We start from the raw sequence: 17395 nt of genomic DNA, 5'->3' as shown, positions 1-17395 counted from the left end.
TAGGCCGGGGAATTGATGGAATCCACCCCATTCTTCCCAGGAAGGCAATCTTACAATAGCTATCAAGAACTTTAAAAGCAGGATGGGCGCGGTGGCTCACGCCTGTGATCTCAGCACATTGGGAGGCCAACGCGGGCAGATCGCAAGTTCAGGAGTTCGAAACCAGCCTGGTCAACATGGTGAAACCCCGTCTCTACTAAAAATACAAAAATTATCTGGGTGTGGTGGCAGGTGCCTGTAATCCCAGCTACTCGAGAGGCTGAGGCAGGAGAATCGCTTTAACCCGGGAGACAGACGTTGCAGTGAGCTGAGATTGCGCCATTGCACTCCAGCCTGGGTGGAAGAGTGAAACTCCGTCTCAAAGAAAACAAACAAACAAACAAACAAAAAAAGAGCCATAAAAGCATTAGGGCCTGTTGATGTAGTGATTCCTCTTTGGGGACTATATTTTATATTTATTAATTTTATTTTTTGAGACAGGGTCTCAGTCTGTTGCCAAGGCTGGAGTGCGGTGGCACCATCCCAGCTCACTGCAGCCTTGACCCCCCTGGCTCAGATTATCCTCCCACCTCAGCCTCCCGAGGAGTTGGGATTACAGGCGCACGCCACCAAACCGGACTATTTTTTGTAAAGATAGGGTCTCCCAATGTTTCCCAGGCTAGTCTCAAACTCCTGAGCTCAAGCAATCCTCCTGCCCCTGCCTCCCAAAGTGCTGGGATTACAGGCGTGAGCCACCTCGCCCAACCCTCAGGGAATATATTTTAAAACAATAATTCCCAAAGGAAGGAAAAACTTCCTAAATGACCTATAATTGGGGAATGGTTAAATAAATGCTGGCATATACATTTAATAGAATATTATGTGGTTTAAAAGGATAATGATGAAGACTCTGCACTGGCATGGAAGGAATATCTACAGCTCTAAGTGAAAAAATCCGAATTATATAACTGACTCTTCACCATGCCTGCCAATGTCATGCTGGCTCTGCCTGGAAACAAAGCCTCAAAGGCAACGAGAGAAAGTAGGTTCTATTCCATATATAGGGTAGGGACTATGGGAGAATTTTTCCTTCTCTTTTTGGTTTATTTTGATTTATTTATTACTATTATTATTATTTTGCAATTAGTGAAAACAAAAATCAGGACTGTTGAATCTGTCTTGCTTCCCCAGGTCAGTGCGGTTGGGAGGTGTGTGGAGAGCAGCCACCCAGACCCAGAGGTCAGGAGATGGGGAGGGAGGAAGGAGTGGGGGAGGCTCTGAGTGGGGAAGTCAGGCCTGGAGGGGCTGATAGCTCAGCTGGTTCTAAGTTCCCTTTCAGTGCTGACTGAGAAAGCTCTCCTAAGCAGCTGTTGTCAGAGGCCTGCGGGAGACACAGACCAAGCATAGGGGCTGTGCTTTGCCTCACCAAGGGAGGAAGCTGTGGGGGCGGCCAGGGGGTGGGCGGCGGTGGCAACTGCAGCACCCAAGACCTCTTGGAGAGAACTGAAGTCAGTGGCCACACCCATGTCACAAAGGAGCCGGGCGGGCACTGCAGGCTTCATCCACTGATGGGGAGCTTGACAGACACCAAAGCCACCGTGGCCTGGTGAGGCGGGATGCCGAGTTTCTGCTTAGGTAGGACAGGGCCAGATTTGTATTTTAGGAAGCCTCGCTGTAGCTGGGTGCAGGCTATGTTAGGAGTTGGAGGGGGGGCACCAGCTGAAGTTGAACACAATGGTACTTTAAAAAATAGCACTAAAAGGCTGGATGTGGTGGTCGACACTTGTAATCCCAGCACTCTGGGAGGCTGAGGTGAGAAGATTGCTTGAGCCCAGGAGTTCGAGACCATCCTGGGCAATATAGTAAGACCTAGTCTCTACAAAAGTTAAAAATTAGCCTGGCATGGTGGTGTGCCCCTGTGGTCCCAGCTACGTGGGAGGCTGAGGCACGAGGATTGCTTGAGCCTGGGATGTCGAGGCTGCAGTAAGCTATGATTGGGCTACTGCACTCTAGCCTGAGAGACAGAGTGAGACCCTGTCTCAAAAAAAAAAAAAAAAAAGGTCATAAAGTTGACCAACAGACACTCCCTACTGGAGTGGAGAGTATGGGATGGGCTTTATTCCCCTGAGCTAAAAATGTAACCAGGGTCCCAATTATACCTTGCAACTTAGATGCAATCTTCTAGGATTGCAAATGTGCTCTTTCATCGTGCTCTTGCCCTTTGCATTGGAGCCCAGTTGGCTGGTGCACGTCCAAGGTGCAGCTGGCAGGCTCCAGCTTTGCTGCTGCAGCACACCTAACCAACTTCAGTAAGATCGCCCCATAACCAACAAAACTCTGGTGGTGCTGACCAAGGGGAGACTGATACACAAACTGGGTTGTTGGCAGCCAGGCAGGTTCCCACACCCATAGTGGAAAGGAGCGATTTGTCAGCTAATGGCTCTTTCTGGCTTGGGCATGATGAAGGAATGGAAGGCGTGGGTCTGTGGTGTGGCCAATGTGACAGGGCCGTCAGAAAGTTGAATACACTGAAGTCAAACATAGGAAATGAGCAATAGGGTTAGTTCAGCATGAACCTATGCCAATTCTTATTTACTTTTTGGGGTTCACTAAAATATGATGTGATTAAGATGTTCTGCTCTCTAGTTTGGTGTGTGTCTCAAAGAACCTCAGTGGAGTCCTAAAGAACCACATGAGCACCCCCAGCCACAGCTGCCTTGCCCTGGCCCCTGCCCCAGTTAGGCCCTGGAGGTCCCTAAAAGGTCTGATGGGCTGGGCCTGCTTTCTTCCAGCTCTGCCAGAGTGGAAACTTGGCCCCAGCTATGGCCTGGTCCAGGTGTGGGCTGCAGTGGGAACTTGTCCCATGCTACTGGGACACCCTGCTTCCACAACCATCAGCTTCTGCCAGCGTCATTTCACTGATCTCTAGTTCATTGATCTCTACCCTCCACCACTTACACTGACCTCGTGGCATCTTGGCCTAATACTACAGGGTGCATCTCTTCTGATGAGGACACTTTTTTCTCCACACTCTCCGGTCCTCAGCTTTGTTAAGGTACACGTGACAAAAATTGGATATGTGAATGATGAACAGTGTGAAATTTTGATATATGTATACACTGGGAAATGATTAAATCAAGCTAATGAACACATCCATCGATCACACAGTTATCTTTTTTGTGTGTGTGTGGTGAGAACATTTCAAATTTACTCTTGTAGCAATTTCCAAGTTTACAATACAGAACTATTAACTACAGTCACCATGCTATTATATACAATAGATCTCCAGAACGTATTCCTCTTAACTGAAACACCTTTGACCAACATCTCCCCCTTCCACACCCTCCCTAGCCCTCCAGCCCCTGGCAACTCCCATCCTATTTCCTGCTTCTGTGAGTTTTGACTTCTTTAAATTCCACATATAAGTGAGGTCATGCAGTATGTGTCTTTCTGAGTCTGGCTTATTTCACTGAGCATGATGCCCTCTGGGTTCATTTATGTTGTCACAAATGACAAGATTCCCTTTTTTAATGGCTAAATAATATTTCATTGTGTATATGTTTTTAATCCATTCATCCACTGATGGACACTTAGGCTGTTTCCCTATCTTGGTTATTGTGAATAAAAAGGACACTTTTTAATGCAACTACCATGCCATTATCTTAGCTAACACAATTAAAAGTCAATCTGTAGACCGGGCGTGGTGGCTCAGCCCTGTAATCCCAGCACTTTGGGAGGCGAGGCGGACGGATCACGAGGTCAGTAGATCGAGACCATCCTGGCTAACACGGTGAAACCCCGTCTCTACAAAAAATACAAAAAGTGAACCAGGTGTGGTGGTACCTGCCTGTAGTCCCAGCTACTTGGGAGGCTGAGGAAGGAGAATGGCGTGAACCCGGGAGGTGGAGCTTGCAGTGAGCCGAGATAGTGCCACTGCACTCCAGCCTGGGCGACAGAGCGAGACTCCGTCTCAAAAACAACAACAACAACAAAAAGTGAATCTGTAATATCGTCCACCACGAAATCCATATTCAGATTCCTCCATTGTGTCAAAACTGTCTTTTTATGGCTGGTTTGTTCAAATCAGGGCTCAAATAAGGGCGCGGGTTGCATTCTTTCCAAGTCACCCCTTTTTTTTTCCCCTTTCCTTTTCATGTCATTGATTTGTTGGAAAAACTGGGTCATTGGGAGTGCATTCTCAATGCACAGCAAATAATTGGAATCCTCTATCCAGCGCTTGCCCTTGGAAAGGCCTCCATGCAGGAGGCAGCTGCCTCCCGGAACTCAGTCCTCTCTCAGCCTCTTTCCACCTCAAATCCCAACCACACACTCGCCACCCACGTCCCCGCTTCATTCTGGGAATTGCCTTTCCTCTCCCCCGCCGCCATCTTTTTGCGCAGATCACCTTAGCCTGTCTGTCTTCTGTAGTCTTCTATCTGCTTTGTCCACCACCAGAATTTGTTACTACCGAGGAGGGCCAGCAGACACAAATCCTTCCCCTAGAGGCTGGTGGGAGGAAGGAAGGCAGCTCCCAGCCCCGCAGTGAGGCTCCTGCTCCTGCTTCATGGAGGGCGATGTGCGGGAACCTTACCTGGTTCTTCCCCCGGCAGCGAGTGTGGGTGGCTGGGACAGCATCTACGTTCGTTGTCGCATCTGCAGGGCCTAGCGCAGCGCCTGGTATTTGCAGGGCATCAAGAATGATTCTTGGAGGGCTGAACAACCAGCATGAGGGCAGGCAATGGGCCTTCCTTGTCTTTGATACCGTGGCCAGGCCTGAAGAATCAGGATGAACAAGCGGAATGTGAATTTGTTATTTTTATTTTTAATTTTTCTGGTACATAGTAGGTGTCTGTATTTACGGGGTACATGAGATCAAAGTAAATTTGTGACAAAGCATTCAGTTATATTCTCTCCACTCCTGAAAGATTCTCTTCACCTTCAGTTAAAGCAAATCATGCTGTAGGACGTCACTGTTGAGTCATTCTCCGGGGGCTCCCAGAGACACGGCATTCTCGTTTTCACTCTGAGAATTAAATCTTGTGCCGGGTGTCACAGTCATCTCTGTTGTGGACATTTCCCTCTGAACTAACCAGCGATGGTTACTGGAAACCACGGCTCCTCCACCTCCCTCCACAGGCTTTCTCCCCTTCCCTTCCACACTTCTGGGGTTTGCCTGGGGATCCAAGTCTCTACACTGGTGAAGCAGGCACAGCTGTCAGGTCACAGACTCACGTGTGCAGGACCATAGCTTCTGGGTCATCAAGCTCATGGAAGCCCCCGGGACAGTCATGTGGGCACACGTTGGAGGGATGTGGATTTGCCCCTTTCCACACCACAGCTTTGCCCTGTCCAATGTCCAGTGGTGGGTAATTTCCTGGGAAGTCTCCTTGAGGTCCTCTCTGGGACCCGGCATCTGGGACCAAGATGCTGTTGTGTGTGTAATGAATGGCAGAAGGCATCTTCATGGAGAGGCTTCTCACTTCACTACTCTTGCTGGTCCTCCTCCTGGGCTAGGGCCAGGGAGAAGAGGGACAGCCCGAGGGCCCCTTCCTAAGACAGACCCTGTGTTAGGCCATTCTTATGTTGCTATAAAGAAATACCTGAGGCTGGATAATTTATAAAGAAAAGAGGTTTAATTGGCTCACTGTTCTGTAGACTTTATATGAAGTGTGGTGCCGGCATCTGCCCTGCTTCTGATGAGACCTTGCTTGCAATTTTGGCAGAAGGCGAAGAGGAAGCGGCATCTCACATGGCCAGAGTGGGAGCAGAGGAGGGGTGGGGAGGTGCCGCACACTTTCAAACAGCCAGATCTCGCAAGAAGGAACTCGCTGCTGAGAGGACAGCACCAAGGGGAGGGCGCAAGATCATTCATGGGAAATCCACCCCCATGATCCAACCCCCTCCACCAGGCCCCGCCTCCAGCACTGGGGATGACAGTTCAACATGAGATTTAGAGGGGACAACACCCAAACTCCATCAGACCCTGGACGGGGATAGCTCTTAGCTCTCCAGGCTCTTGCTCCGTGACCTACTCTGGCATTGTTGCCTCTCTTGCTTGGCCCCCCAGCTGGGGATGCCCGGAGACAAACATGGGCACTGCTGCTCCTGCCAGGAAATTCCTGAGCCCAGACATCTCTTAGCACCCATGCCCAGGGCTGGCTGGGCTTCTTGGCCCTCCACGGAGGGGCTGGCTAGTGGGAGAGGAGAGGAGGTGCACAGGAAGGAGGGGCTGCTCTGGAAGGCAATAGCCAGCCAAGCTCTCGGGCAGTCTGGGGGCGGGGAGCCAGCCAGGATGCTGTCCTGCTAACAGGGGATGGCTCCGGATGTAGATGGGCCTTGACCTGGCTCTAGTCCAAGCACTGCCCGGGATGGCCTCTGCTGGGGCCTCAGTTTCCACCTCTCTACAATGGGCACAGTTGTGCTACAGAGAGCGCTCTCTCTCTCCTCTCTCTCTCTTTCTCTCCTCTCTCTCTCTTTCTCTCCTCTCTCTCTCTTTTCTCTCTCCCTCCTCTCTCCTCTTCTCGTCTCTTCTCTCCTCTTCTCTTCTCTTCTCTTCTCTTCAGGTCACAAGGACAAATCCTAGGGGAACAGAAGCAGGATGGAACTCTGACTTCAGAGCCCCAGGGTCGTGCTCTCACTCTGTTCATTGGCAATGATGAAGGAAAAATTGGTCTGCTTTCACCCAGCTCTCCCTAGCCTGCCCCTTCTCCTGCCCCTTCCGTGTCTCTTCCCCCTTACCCCATTCTTGTGGATGGGGGTGGGGGTGGAGAGTGGGGGGTTCCTTCTTCTGGGTCTGGTGCCCACCCTCCCCATCGGGCCCTTCTCAAACAGCCAAGCTCCCATCTCCCACTGGCTGCCCCTGGCCTTTGGACCCTGCCACCCTGCAGCCCCCTGAAGTCCCTTCCCCCATGGCCCACCCTCCCTCTGCTCTTTTGGCTTGGCCTCCCTCTCTGCTCTTCACTCCTCCTGTGCCATTGACCTCCCTTTTGGCCTTTCTCTGGCCTCCAGCCACCAGGGCAGATGCTCTACTGCCCCCTGCCGCTCTCCCCCCACACCTGCCTCTTCCACCTGCCCTCCATTGGCCCTTCCTGCAAAACGTCCTGGGGGCCTGAGTGGGGAATGGAGGCTGGAGGGCAGTGGCTGGGTCCCTTGTGGGGTTGGTCTGGGACTCCTGCCCCTGAGGACTAAGTAATTCTCTCTCTCAGCTGCTCTGCTGGGGACACTCCCTGAGGGAGGCAGGGCCAGGAGGCCCGGCTGAGGCAGGAGAAGGAGGCAGAAGAAGGAGGCAGGCCCTTGCCTCTGTCCTGGGCCCCCTTTCTGTGATCTTCTGGCATTCTCAGGGGTCTGCCCAGCCCTGGAGTGTGAGTGTGGGGGTGGCCCCTCTGAACGTATTCTTGCTGTTCTGTTGGTTCTGACAGTGTCCTTCCTGCCCCTTCTGGTCTGTGTCACATTCACTTTAATCTCAAAATGTTTTCTGAAATTGCTCAGAAAAGAAAAGGCCCAGTATAGCCCCCATCACAGGGAGGGTAGCTCAGAGGGGGCCACTACCCCGGGCATCAGGCTCCCCTGCACTCTGGATCCCAGAATGTCCAGGACCCCTGGGCTGGAGAACAAAGGGCCATCTCTCAATGATCAGTCAATAACTCATCAAATATTTCTTAAAGAGAGCAGACAGGATCCCTTAGATCTTACAATGTAAGATGCAAATAGATATCAAACAAATACTTGAAATATTTTAATGTTTAAGATATTTAAAAAGCACAACTTTTGGAGGAAGATGAAGGCATGACATGAGCTGATAAAGGGGACCCCGAGTTGAGCTGGAGATCAGGGAAGGCCTCCCTGGGGGAGTGACGTTCAACCTGAGACCTGAAGGACAGGGAGTCACTGCGGATGTGACCCAGAGCCAGAGATGAGACTGGGACCTCATTTGTCCCTGAGCTTCCTCCAGCCACAGTCCAGCTCTGCTTGGTGACGGCATCGCAAATAGGAAAGTCACGAGGTGGTAGGTGGTGGTCCCAGGGAGGGAAGGCCAGGAGACCGAGTGTGGGAAGTGGTGGGCACACAGCTCACCATGGCAGAGGAGGCAGAAACACATGTGGCCATGGGAGAGCCCAGGTTGAGCGTCCTGGGTCTGGGAGCGGGGGCAGGCCCCCCAGGATACCACCCTGGGTTCAGGTTCAAATGCTATGCTCAGTCTGGGGGACTTCTGGTGCTTGTCTTTCTTCCAGCAAAGGGCCCTGCTCACTGTGGACTCTGGGCACTCAGAGGGCAGCTGCGCTGGCCACCAGCAGCCAGCCAGGTCAGGACCGCACTCCTGCAGCCTCCCTGGGAGTGGCCGTGGGCTCCTGTGGGGTGCTGGACAGAGCATCTAGAGGGTTCTCTCTGAGCCTGGAGGCACCCAGGCATCAGGCCCTCCAACCCCTTCTTTTCTTTTTTTTTTCTGGAGATGGAGTCTTGCTCTGTCGCCCGGGCTGGAGTGCAGTGGTGCCATCTTGGCTCACTGCAACCTCCGCCTCCTGGGTTCAAGCAATTCTCCTGCCTCAGACTCCTGAGTAGCTGGGACTACAAGTGCACACCGCCACGTCCGGCTAATTTTTTGTATTTTAATAGAGATGGGGTTTCACCGTATTGCCCAGGCTGGTCTAGAACTCCTGAGCTCAGGCAATCCACCCGCCTTGGCCTCCCAAATTGTTGGGATTACAGGCATGAGCCACCATGCCTGGTCTCCAACCCCTTCTTAATTCCTCCCTGCAGGCCCCGGTGCAGCCAGGGATACTCCCGTTTCCCACCCAGGGCAGGCAAGGAAAGCCTGGACTGGCCAGAAACGCAGGCAGCACTTTCATACTCTTCGACCTGCCCAGCTGGGGCGAGGCGGCCACCCAGCAGCAGCATGGGCCCCCAGGGAGGCAGGTGCTGTGAATCCTGGCCCAGTGACCCCTGAGAGCTCACAAACAGGGCACAGGGTGCTGCCCACTCTAAGGAGGCACAGTGTGGACTGGCTCCTCCCTAAGCACAGCCTGGTGTGTGTCAGGGTCCAGAATGACGCTGTCTTCGGCCCCTGCAGACTTCTCAGTCTTGATAAGCGCCTTCCTGCAGGACGAGTTCATGCTCTGGAGACACCTTCCACTATCTTCAGGGGGCTGCTTCAGAATTCACAGCAGTTTTGGGCCTGGGGAGCCTGGACCCCTCCCACTGATGGCCTTGAATCTGCAGATGATTATGAAGAGAACGCAGCCTGTCAGGAAACCCCAGCCTTGAGCTCTGAATTTTAATGCCAAGGGTGGGTGCCAGGAGGGAGGTGGCTGTGTAAGCGCCGCCCCCACTGAGACCCCATGAGCGGTTAGCCCCCTTCCTCGCTTTCTCCATCTGGCTGCTGGGCTCTGGTCCAGGTGCAGGCTGAAGGGCCTCCCGCCTGCCCCTGGGAGGCTGTAGCTGCCCCAAGCCATTTGCATCCACCCTTCAGGTCCCAGCATCGCAGGACTCCAGGGGGGCCACGTAGCTCAGGGATGGGAGGACTGGCTCTTTCTGGTGCCTGGCAGGACACTTTGGGCCTACTGGGGGTGGCAGTGGCAGGCCAAGGAGATGCCTGGGGTGGGAGGATTAGCTGTCCCCGCCCCCGCCAACACACCCCTGTCTCCCAGGGGTATGATGTCTCTTCAGCCTGTGACTGTCTCTCCCCGCTGCAGCCTGCTTGCCCCTGGGTGGGGAGGGATGGTGGCACTGGCTTCCTCCCGAAACAAGGACTTCCTCCACCCATCGTGCCTGGGGATGCCGGCTGGCCGTTCAACTTCCACACTATCTCCTCACCTGGTTCTACCCGGGCTCCTTGTTCCCTTTAGAGCAAGCACTGGCCTGCACGCCAGGCTCTCCCCCTTCTCCAGTGTTACATGGACACGGCCCTGTTATTGCCAGAGACCCACAGACACCTTTCCTTAGGGGTTGTGAATCCTCTGGCCTCCTGCTCAGGTGCTCTAGAAGACTCCCCCATGCATGTCTAGGGAGCCAGTGGTATGAGATTCCAGCTCTTGCAGCCCAGGGAGCTGGGCAGCCCAGGAGATGCCAACTTCTCAGGGCAACAAAATGGGCCACTTCCGAGAAGAACACCCCCAGACCACTGTCACCCCTTCTGGTTTGGAAACTTCCCTGGGAAGCATCTAAGGCTTGTCATTGCCTGGCTCCAAACTGCCCCACCCTTGAAGACCCTCCCTTCTTTCTATGGCCTGTGACATCTCCCAGCTCCCCCAGGCACCAGCATCTCAGACAGGGTTGACTGCGGGCAGAGCTGTGCCATGCCCACCCCAGTAAGGAGATCAATGGCACAGCTCCTCGGAGCCACCGGAAAGAGCCCTGCCCCCCCAGAACTCCACAGCCCTTCTGCCTGCTGGGGGCAAAGCTGAGCTCTTGGTTCTCTGTGCTCAGCCTAGGCCCCAGGGCTGCAGGGACAAAGGAGAAGTCTAGGGTAGGTTGCGGCGAGTGCTCATTGTTGGCTAGTCGGCCTCTTCAGTCTCCATCTCGAGAACTGGCCACACGGCAGGAGCCCTCTGTGCTAGATGCTTCCATGCCCCAGGCGGCGAGGTGGGAGCCATGCTGCAGCTGACTTTCTTCTTGAAGTGCTACTTGGGGGCGATATTTAATGAGCTCTTTAAAAGGCCAGGCCCTCCTGGAGTTGTTTACCGAGACCCAGAAGAGATGCAGCTAGACTCGAGGCTCTCATGAACAAATAATGAGGTTTAGAGGCTTTTTGTCTCCTGCCCTAAATGACATCCTTCATATCAGGCAAGGTCCCGAGATGCCACGGAGCCCACATGGCTGCCCCAGTGCCTCTGCCAGTGGCTGGACAAGAGGCCCTGGCTCCTTGAGCCTCCTCCAGCCTTGCCCTGCCCGCTGCTCCAGCCTCCAGGACAGCCTCGGATTTTCCGGAGCTGGTGAAGTTAAGCCAAATGAGCACCTGGGATCTTCATTTATTCTCTGATCCCAGCATCCTCAGCCCCAGTCAAACTGCCCCAGTCTTTCCTTCAAGTGAAGAGACATCAGGAAATACCAATATTTTTCTAAGCAATATAAAATATTTGTTAAAACCATCTCACAGAAAAACACGGTAAAAGACCAGGTTCTGTAGGAATGGCTCAATGATTTTCTTTCTTTGTTTTTTTTTTTTTTTTGGTCATCTGGTTACAGAAAGAGAACTTTGATTGTATTTCTTACATAGTTTAGAAGGAGTGAAAGGTATTACATCATCTTTTAAAGGAAATTGATTCCATATAAAGCCCACTCTGATGGCCTCACTTCCTCAAATGGCAGTTAAGGGGGCCCTTGCCTGGCCGGCTTCTTTTTATGTGATGTTTTACACAAACCCCCAATTATTAGTATGAGAATGAGTCTAAGCTTTTTTTTTTTTTTTTTTTTTTTTTTTGAGACAGGGTCTTGTTCTGTCTCCCAGGCTGGAGTACAGTGGTGCGATCACGGCTCACTGCAGCCTCAATCTCCTGTACTTAAGTGATCCGCCCAAGTAGCTGGGACCACAGGTGCACACCACCATGCCCAGCTAATTTTATTTATTTTTTTTGGTAGAGATGAGGATCTCAATATATTACCTAGGCTGGTCTCAAACTCCTGAGCTCAAGTAATCCTCCTGCCTCCGCCTCCCAAAATGTGAGGATTACAAGCATGAGCCACTGTGCCCCAAATTTTAGATTTAAATATCTTGTTCTACTGAGTAAATTTTCTCTATTCTGTTTGGTGGTTGTGGCAGCATCTGTGTTTTGTAGTTTGCAGAAATTAGCATAAACATTCTTCTAGATGAGGTCTCTACTACTTGTCTTTTTGAATGAGCCAGGGCAAGACTTTTTTCTATGGTTTACATTTTTACCCCAAATCTACAAAACAAATAATCACAATTTATCATCTAATAACTTTTTTTGGTGACTGTTGGAAATAAATGCTCCGTGCCACAAAGAAGAATCAGCACTCCAGCAAAAAGCTCTCTCGGCAAGGCAATTTACTTCTGCAGAAGGGTGCAACTTGCACCAGTCACGATCACAAGAGCACACCAAGTGGGGTAGGGCAGGGTTTTTATCCCTAACGCAATTAGTTCTTATTGCTGTGTTTTTTCCCCAGGGACCTAAAGCTTTTTGAAAAAGAATTTATCTCTGAGAGTGACAATGCCTCACTCTCTTGCCCAGACTGGAGCACACTGGCACAATCACGACTCACGGGAGCCTCTAACTCCTGGACTCAAGTGATCCTTCCATCTCAGCCTCCCAAGTAGCTAGGACCACAAGTGTGCACCACCACACCTGGCTAATTAAAAAAAATTTTGTAGAGACGGGGTCTTACTATGTTGTTGACCAGGTAGGTCTCAAACTCCTGGCCTCAAGCAATCCTCCCACCTCAGCCTCCCAAAACGTTGGGATTACAGGTGTGAGCCACTGTGCCTGGCCTAGAATACATTTTTACTTAATGTTTCCAGTCGTACAGCCCAACTGAAAATCAGAATCATTTTATTCAAGGAAGCCTATTGTGTTTTAAAGTTTATTAATAAACTTAGGAGACTAGGGAGGTAAGAGGAAAACTAGGGAAACAGGATTTGACATAGGAAATCTGGCTCAGGTTAGATCAAGAGTCCTGACTTCTATTCCTTTGTATACAAGCATAAAAAGAAGAATCATAAATATAAATTACTTTCCCCTTAGCCTCCAGCCAAACAACTTAGTCAGCTTTTGACAACTTGAGTAATACCTCAAGGGAAATTCTAATAATTCATTTTTGTGTTAAGACAACTGTCATCAGACTTATCTCTGGGGATAATCCTGGCCTCAAGGGTTTTATAGACAACTACCTTTCATGAGCCTAAATCCACATATTGGATGCTCTCCTTGGTCCCCTTTGAGCCACTCCTGCAGGCAGAACCTCTATGGACATTGCTGCTGTCCAACAGGATGTTCGTATCAGTCCATTCTCATGCTGCTAATAAACACATACCCAAGACTGGGTAATTTATAAAGAAAACAGGTTTAATTGACTCACAGTTCAGCATGGCTGGGGAGACCTCAGGAAACTTATAGTCAGGTGGAAGGGGAAGCAAACATGTCCTTCTTCACATGGCGTCATAAGAGAAGTGCCAAGCAAAGCGAGGAAAGCCCCTTATAAAACCATCAGATCTCATGAGAACTCACTCACTATCATGAGAACAGGATGAGGGTAACCGCCCCCATGATTCAATTACCTCCTACCAGGTTCCTCCTACGATCCTACGACATGTGAGGATTATGAGAACTACAATTCAAGATGAGATTTGGGTGGGGACACAGCCAAACCATACCAGTGTTCTTGGTTTCCTCTGCCAAAATTCAGTACTGGCCACTGGCTTACCTTCAAGGCTCCTTCACATACTGGCCAGCCTTTGTCTGGAATCTCCCTTTGGCTTTTGCAATTCTCCTACCCCTGACTAACTCCTTTCCACCTTTGTGCATTCCAGTCTCTCTGCCAACCTCTTTAATATTCTCTTCCCCACAGTTCACTCTTTATTTTCTCACACTGCATGTTATTTCCTACAAACTCACAAGCTTCCTCCCTCATGCTGATACTGATGACTCCTCAGTATATACAAGCTGGGCATCCAAAGTCCAAAAGTCCAAAATCTAAAATACTCCAGATCTAAAACTTTTTGTGCGCCAACATGCACTCAAGGAAAATGCTCATTGGAGCACTTCAGATTTTGGTTTTAGGATGCTCAGCCAGTATAATGCAAATATTCCCAACTCTAAAAAAATCCAAAATCCAAAACACTTCTTTTTCCAAGCGTTTCTGACAAAGGATACTGAACCTGTATCTCCATTCCCCTGTGTCGGTATTCCGTACCCTCCGGTCCAAAATGGAACCCCTCTCCTCCCAGCCCAGTCCCAGAGCCCAGGGCTGCATTTCCTTTAGAATTGCCCCATGATCCATCTAGGGCATGCACATGTGAATCTCTGGGTGTGTTGTGTGTGTGTGTTGACATCTGGATGGGTGCGCACAGTTCTGGCTGTGAGCCTGTGAAAGCCTGAGGGAAGACCACAACACACAGCACAATTGTGTGAGACCCTAGGACTCAATCAACTGGGCAAAACCCCTTTTACAGCCAAAGCAAGTCACTCACTCAAGGCCCCCTAGGAGCTTCAGAAGGAAAGACTTCCTGGTAATAAACAGGTCCATGGAGCCCGTCAGCCTTCGCTTCCTGGGCCCCTCATCCAGACAGGAGGCTGCGCTGGGGCTGGGAGTGGCTGCCGGGCTGGGACCACACACTCTAGTTCCTAAGACGTGCCTGCCTCTGTGTAACCTGAGGCCCCTTTTCTGATGTGTTCCAGGCAGCCTGAACTAAAACACCGCCGCTTTGTCTGACCACAGCGCCAGGAGCCTTCTCTTGGAAATGTGGTCACGATGGTGCTGAGGCTGCGGGTCCTGCCACCATCTCTGAGGGAGAGGAAAAGTGCCCCCCACCCCAGGCGTTTCCTCTGAGACCCGTGTGTCTCTGGCATGAAGGGGCCTGTGTGTCACTTGTCCAGGTGGTAGGAAGGAGGTAACCCATGTGTGTCCTGGCAGCCAGAGAGGCTCTGGGCACCCTGGGCGCAGTCAGCAGAATGTAGGGGTCCTGGGTGGGGGTGGGGGAAGCCCAACCCAACAGGACAATGCCCTTCCTTGGTGGGTGGAGTCAGGGTGGGAAACCCCGACTGAAGAGAGGGCTTAATCCCCAAAGCTCCCTTGCCGACCTGCAGTGACGGCTCTTCACTCTTAGGGACTATCTGGGTTTAACACTGAAGGTCCAGAGTCCCCCCAGGAGTCCCATCCATTCTGGGCAAACCAGAACAGATGGTCATCCTCACCCCACCCCAGATAGCAAACAGGGCCACCCCGAGGCGTCCGGATGCTAATCTTCCCCAGGGGAGGCTGACTCCTGCCCAGAGGTTACCAGGAGTCAGCATGGAGTGGGCCCCGGGGAGGGAGGCGGCCGGGCTCTAAGCATTTTGCTAAGCACTTGGGCTGGGTCAGGCTGGCTGTCCCTGGTTCTTCTGACCTGTGTCCTCCTTCCCCTGGGACCAAGAGCTCAGGGTTGGGGCTTTCAGTGGATACTTGTGCTGTTCACAGAGGTGGTCATCTCACATTTGGTCCTGGGAACTAACCCCCATCCCTGAGGGGCAGAAAGAGCAGCTGTGCTGGGGTCGGAGAGAGGCCGGGGACCAGAAACCTGGAATCAGTACTCGGTGCTCGTTCCACAGCTTTTGGTGAGAGAGGTGCAGAGAGGTGCTGGCCCTGATGCAGACCTAGGTTTTGTGATTCCAGGGCCAGGGCTGGGTTAGAAATCACCATATTCTGTCAGCCTTTTGTGTTGTAGGGGCAGGTGGAGAAACAGCCAGTGCAGGGAGGGGTCTCTCCAAATAAGCGGCCCATATACCTAGGCCAGTGCCCCTGGGGGACAGTCCAGTCTATTAGCACTGGAAAGGAGGGTTGAAAAGGTGGGCAAGGAAAGCACCCTGAGCCCAGGTGACAATAGAGGCGAGGAGAGGGAGGCAGGAAGTGACCACAGCCTGACCCAGCACCTCTGGGGTGGTCACCGGAAGCTTTGGGGTGACTGCAGATGTGGCCTCAGAAACTGAAGTCAAGAACTTCAGAGGCTGAGCTCTTGGGGAAGACCTGGTAATGCCTCTCCTAGCGGACACATCCCCTGCATCCTGCATCTCCCACCCCCACAGCAGAGCTTCATCCCGCTGCTGTCACTGCCCCCACCCAGGCAGCCTTTGCCCTGCCAAGGGAGCCCCCGCCCTGCCTCCTGGAGACGCTGACTTCCAGGAGTGGGGAATGCTGCCGGCGCAGGGGCTGCTGCTCCTGGATAAGAGGCAAGCCCTGTAAGGAGAGAGGCCCTGAGTCCCCTGAGTCCAGCCACCACCTCTATGGCCGCTCTGAAAGCCTAAGGGGACTGAGGGTGGACATGAAAGGAGGTTGCTCTAGTTTCTTTGGCCTGTGGACCAACCTGAGGAGGGACAGCCACCCACTGCCACAGGCCAGTCCCCAGGTGGCTGAGAGCTCCCTTGGAGATGGGGGCTTCCTGGAGGGCCTGCCAGGCTGCCCAGCAGCTGCACACCATGGGCTGCCCCGTGTGTTCAGTAGGTTCCTGACTTCCCCTAGCAGGGACATCAGGGTCCCAGGAGACGGTTTGCAGGAAGGGCCAACGGAGGGCAGGTGGAGGATGCGGTGGACGGATGGGAGGGAGATGGGGCAGTGGAGCAGTCTGCCCAGGTGGCTGGAGGCCAGAGAAAGGCCAGAAGGGAAGTCAAGAGCACAGGAAGAGTGAAGAGCAGAGAGGCAGGCCAGGCAGAGAGGGCGGAGGGAAGGGGGGAGCTGGGCGGGGCAGGGGACTTCAGGGGCTTGGCTAGGCCCACAGGAGGCGACAGGGCACAGGACCAGAAGGCAGTGATGGAGGGTAGCAGGGAAGGGGGAAGAGGCAGGAAGGGGCAGGGAAAGGAGTGGGCTGGAAGCAGCCGGGTGAAAGCAGACCCATTTTCCCTTCATCGTTGCCAAAGATCAGCGTGAGAGCACGATCCTGGGGCTCTGAAGTCAGAGTTCAGTCCGGCTTCTGTTCCCTTAGGATTTGTCCTTGTGACCTCACATGTAGAGAATTAGAGAGAGCGAGCGCATGCAAGAGAGAGAGAGAGAGAGCAGCAGTCCTGCCTGTAGCACAGCTACAGGGATGTGCAGACTGAGGCCCTGATGGAGGCAGTCCCAGGCCGAGCCTGGGCTAGAACAGGGTGTGCCTTGTCACAGGAAGCGAGGAGGTGGTGCAAGAGTGGGAGAGAGGCCTGGTTTAGGATGACGGCCAGACACGAAGCAAGAGATTGGGGCTCATGCAGGCACAGCTGGGCAGCTGGAAGAGGCAGGACCTGGCCAGTTTCGAGCCCCACGTGGAGACTGTCCTTGTAATGAACATGTCCTTCTGTTCGGAGCTTTATGTACCTTTATCATATAAACATTCACAGCCATGCTGTCTTCATTTAGAAGAGGTGTAGATCCAACTATTTTAATGAACACTGAAGACTTTCCTTCCATAGTAGCTTCCCCTTCATGTAACGTTATGTGCATTATGTAACAGAATGCAATGTACCTTTACAGAAATCTCTGTAATTTCAAAATGATATAATGCACAAATTAAGACTTCTAGTCACCTTAGATGATAGAAACAATATCCATCCAGCCGGTGGTAATTTTCTGCCTTCAGCACCAATTATGTAGGGAATGAGTTTTTAATCTTGTGAATTCCTCTAACATGTTTCCTGCCCTCTGGATGCCTCCCACAAACAGCTGCAACCACCTGACGGGCAGGCGCCCAGAGAAGGTCGGCGGGCTGGTGGCGTGGAGGTGTTTCTCTAAGCAGCAGAGTACC

General features: G+C 52.2%; 1 protein-coding gene across 1 annotated transcript in view, besides 6 other annotated features; it reads left to right on the top strand.

Moving 5' to 3' along the window:
• The window catches only part of GPR55 (G protein-coupled receptor 55), a 53874-nt gene that overhangs the window by 11660 nt on the left and 24819 nt on the right, over nt 1-17395 (top strand). The gene's annotated exons all lie outside the window — the stretch shown is intronic.
• Nucleotides 2781-2940: an enhancer, noted in NCBI's record as "active region_17263". NCBI's record gives its function as "activates an Ori minimal core promoter by ATAC-STARR-seq in GM12878 lymphoblastoid cells {active_cell/tissue: GM12878}" and the evidence as "EXISTENCE:reporter gene assay evidence [ECO:0000049][PMID:35858748]".
• Nucleotides 5434-5653: an enhancer, noted in NCBI's record as "active region_17262". NCBI's record gives its function as "activates an Ori minimal core promoter by ATAC-STARR-seq in GM12878 lymphoblastoid cells {active_cell/tissue: GM12878}" and the evidence as "EXISTENCE:reporter gene assay evidence [ECO:0000049][PMID:35858748]".
• Nucleotides 5964-6173: an enhancer, noted in NCBI's record as "active region_17261". NCBI's record gives its function as "activates an Ori minimal core promoter by ATAC-STARR-seq in GM12878 lymphoblastoid cells {active_cell/tissue: GM12878}" and the evidence as "EXISTENCE:reporter gene assay evidence [ECO:0000049][PMID:35858748]".
• Nucleotides 7104-7153: an enhancer, noted in NCBI's record as "active region_17260". NCBI's record gives its function as "activates an Ori minimal core promoter by ATAC-STARR-seq in GM12878 lymphoblastoid cells {active_cell/tissue: GM12878}" and the evidence as "EXISTENCE:reporter gene assay evidence [ECO:0000049][PMID:35858748]".
• Nucleotides 9003-9542: an enhancer, noted in NCBI's record as "H3K27ac-H3K4me1 hESC enhancer chr2:231804715-231805254 (GRCh37/hg19 assembly coordinates)". NCBI's record gives its function as "activates a minimal SCP1, AML or CMV promoter by ChIP-STARR-seq in naive and primed H9 embryonic stem cells {active_cell/tissue: H9 hESC(naive and primed)}" and the evidence as "EXISTENCE:reporter gene assay evidence [ECO:0000049][PMID:30033119]".
• Nucleotides 9543-10083: an enhancer, noted in NCBI's record as "H3K27ac-H3K4me1 hESC enhancer chr2:231804174-231804714 (GRCh37/hg19 assembly coordinates)". NCBI's record gives its function as "activates a minimal SCP1, AML or CMV promoter by ChIP-STARR-seq in naive H9 embryonic stem cells {active_cell/tissue: H9 hESC(naive)}" and the evidence as "EXISTENCE:reporter gene assay evidence [ECO:0000049][PMID:30033119]".

Source organism: Homo sapiens, chromosome 2 (genome assembly GCF_000001405.40).
Source record: "Homo sapiens chromosome 2, GRCh38.p14 Primary Assembly".
NCBI lineage: Eukaryota > Metazoa > Chordata > Mammalia > Primates > Hominidae > Homo > Homo sapiens.
This window is presented reverse-complemented; position numbering and strand designations above follow the sequence as displayed.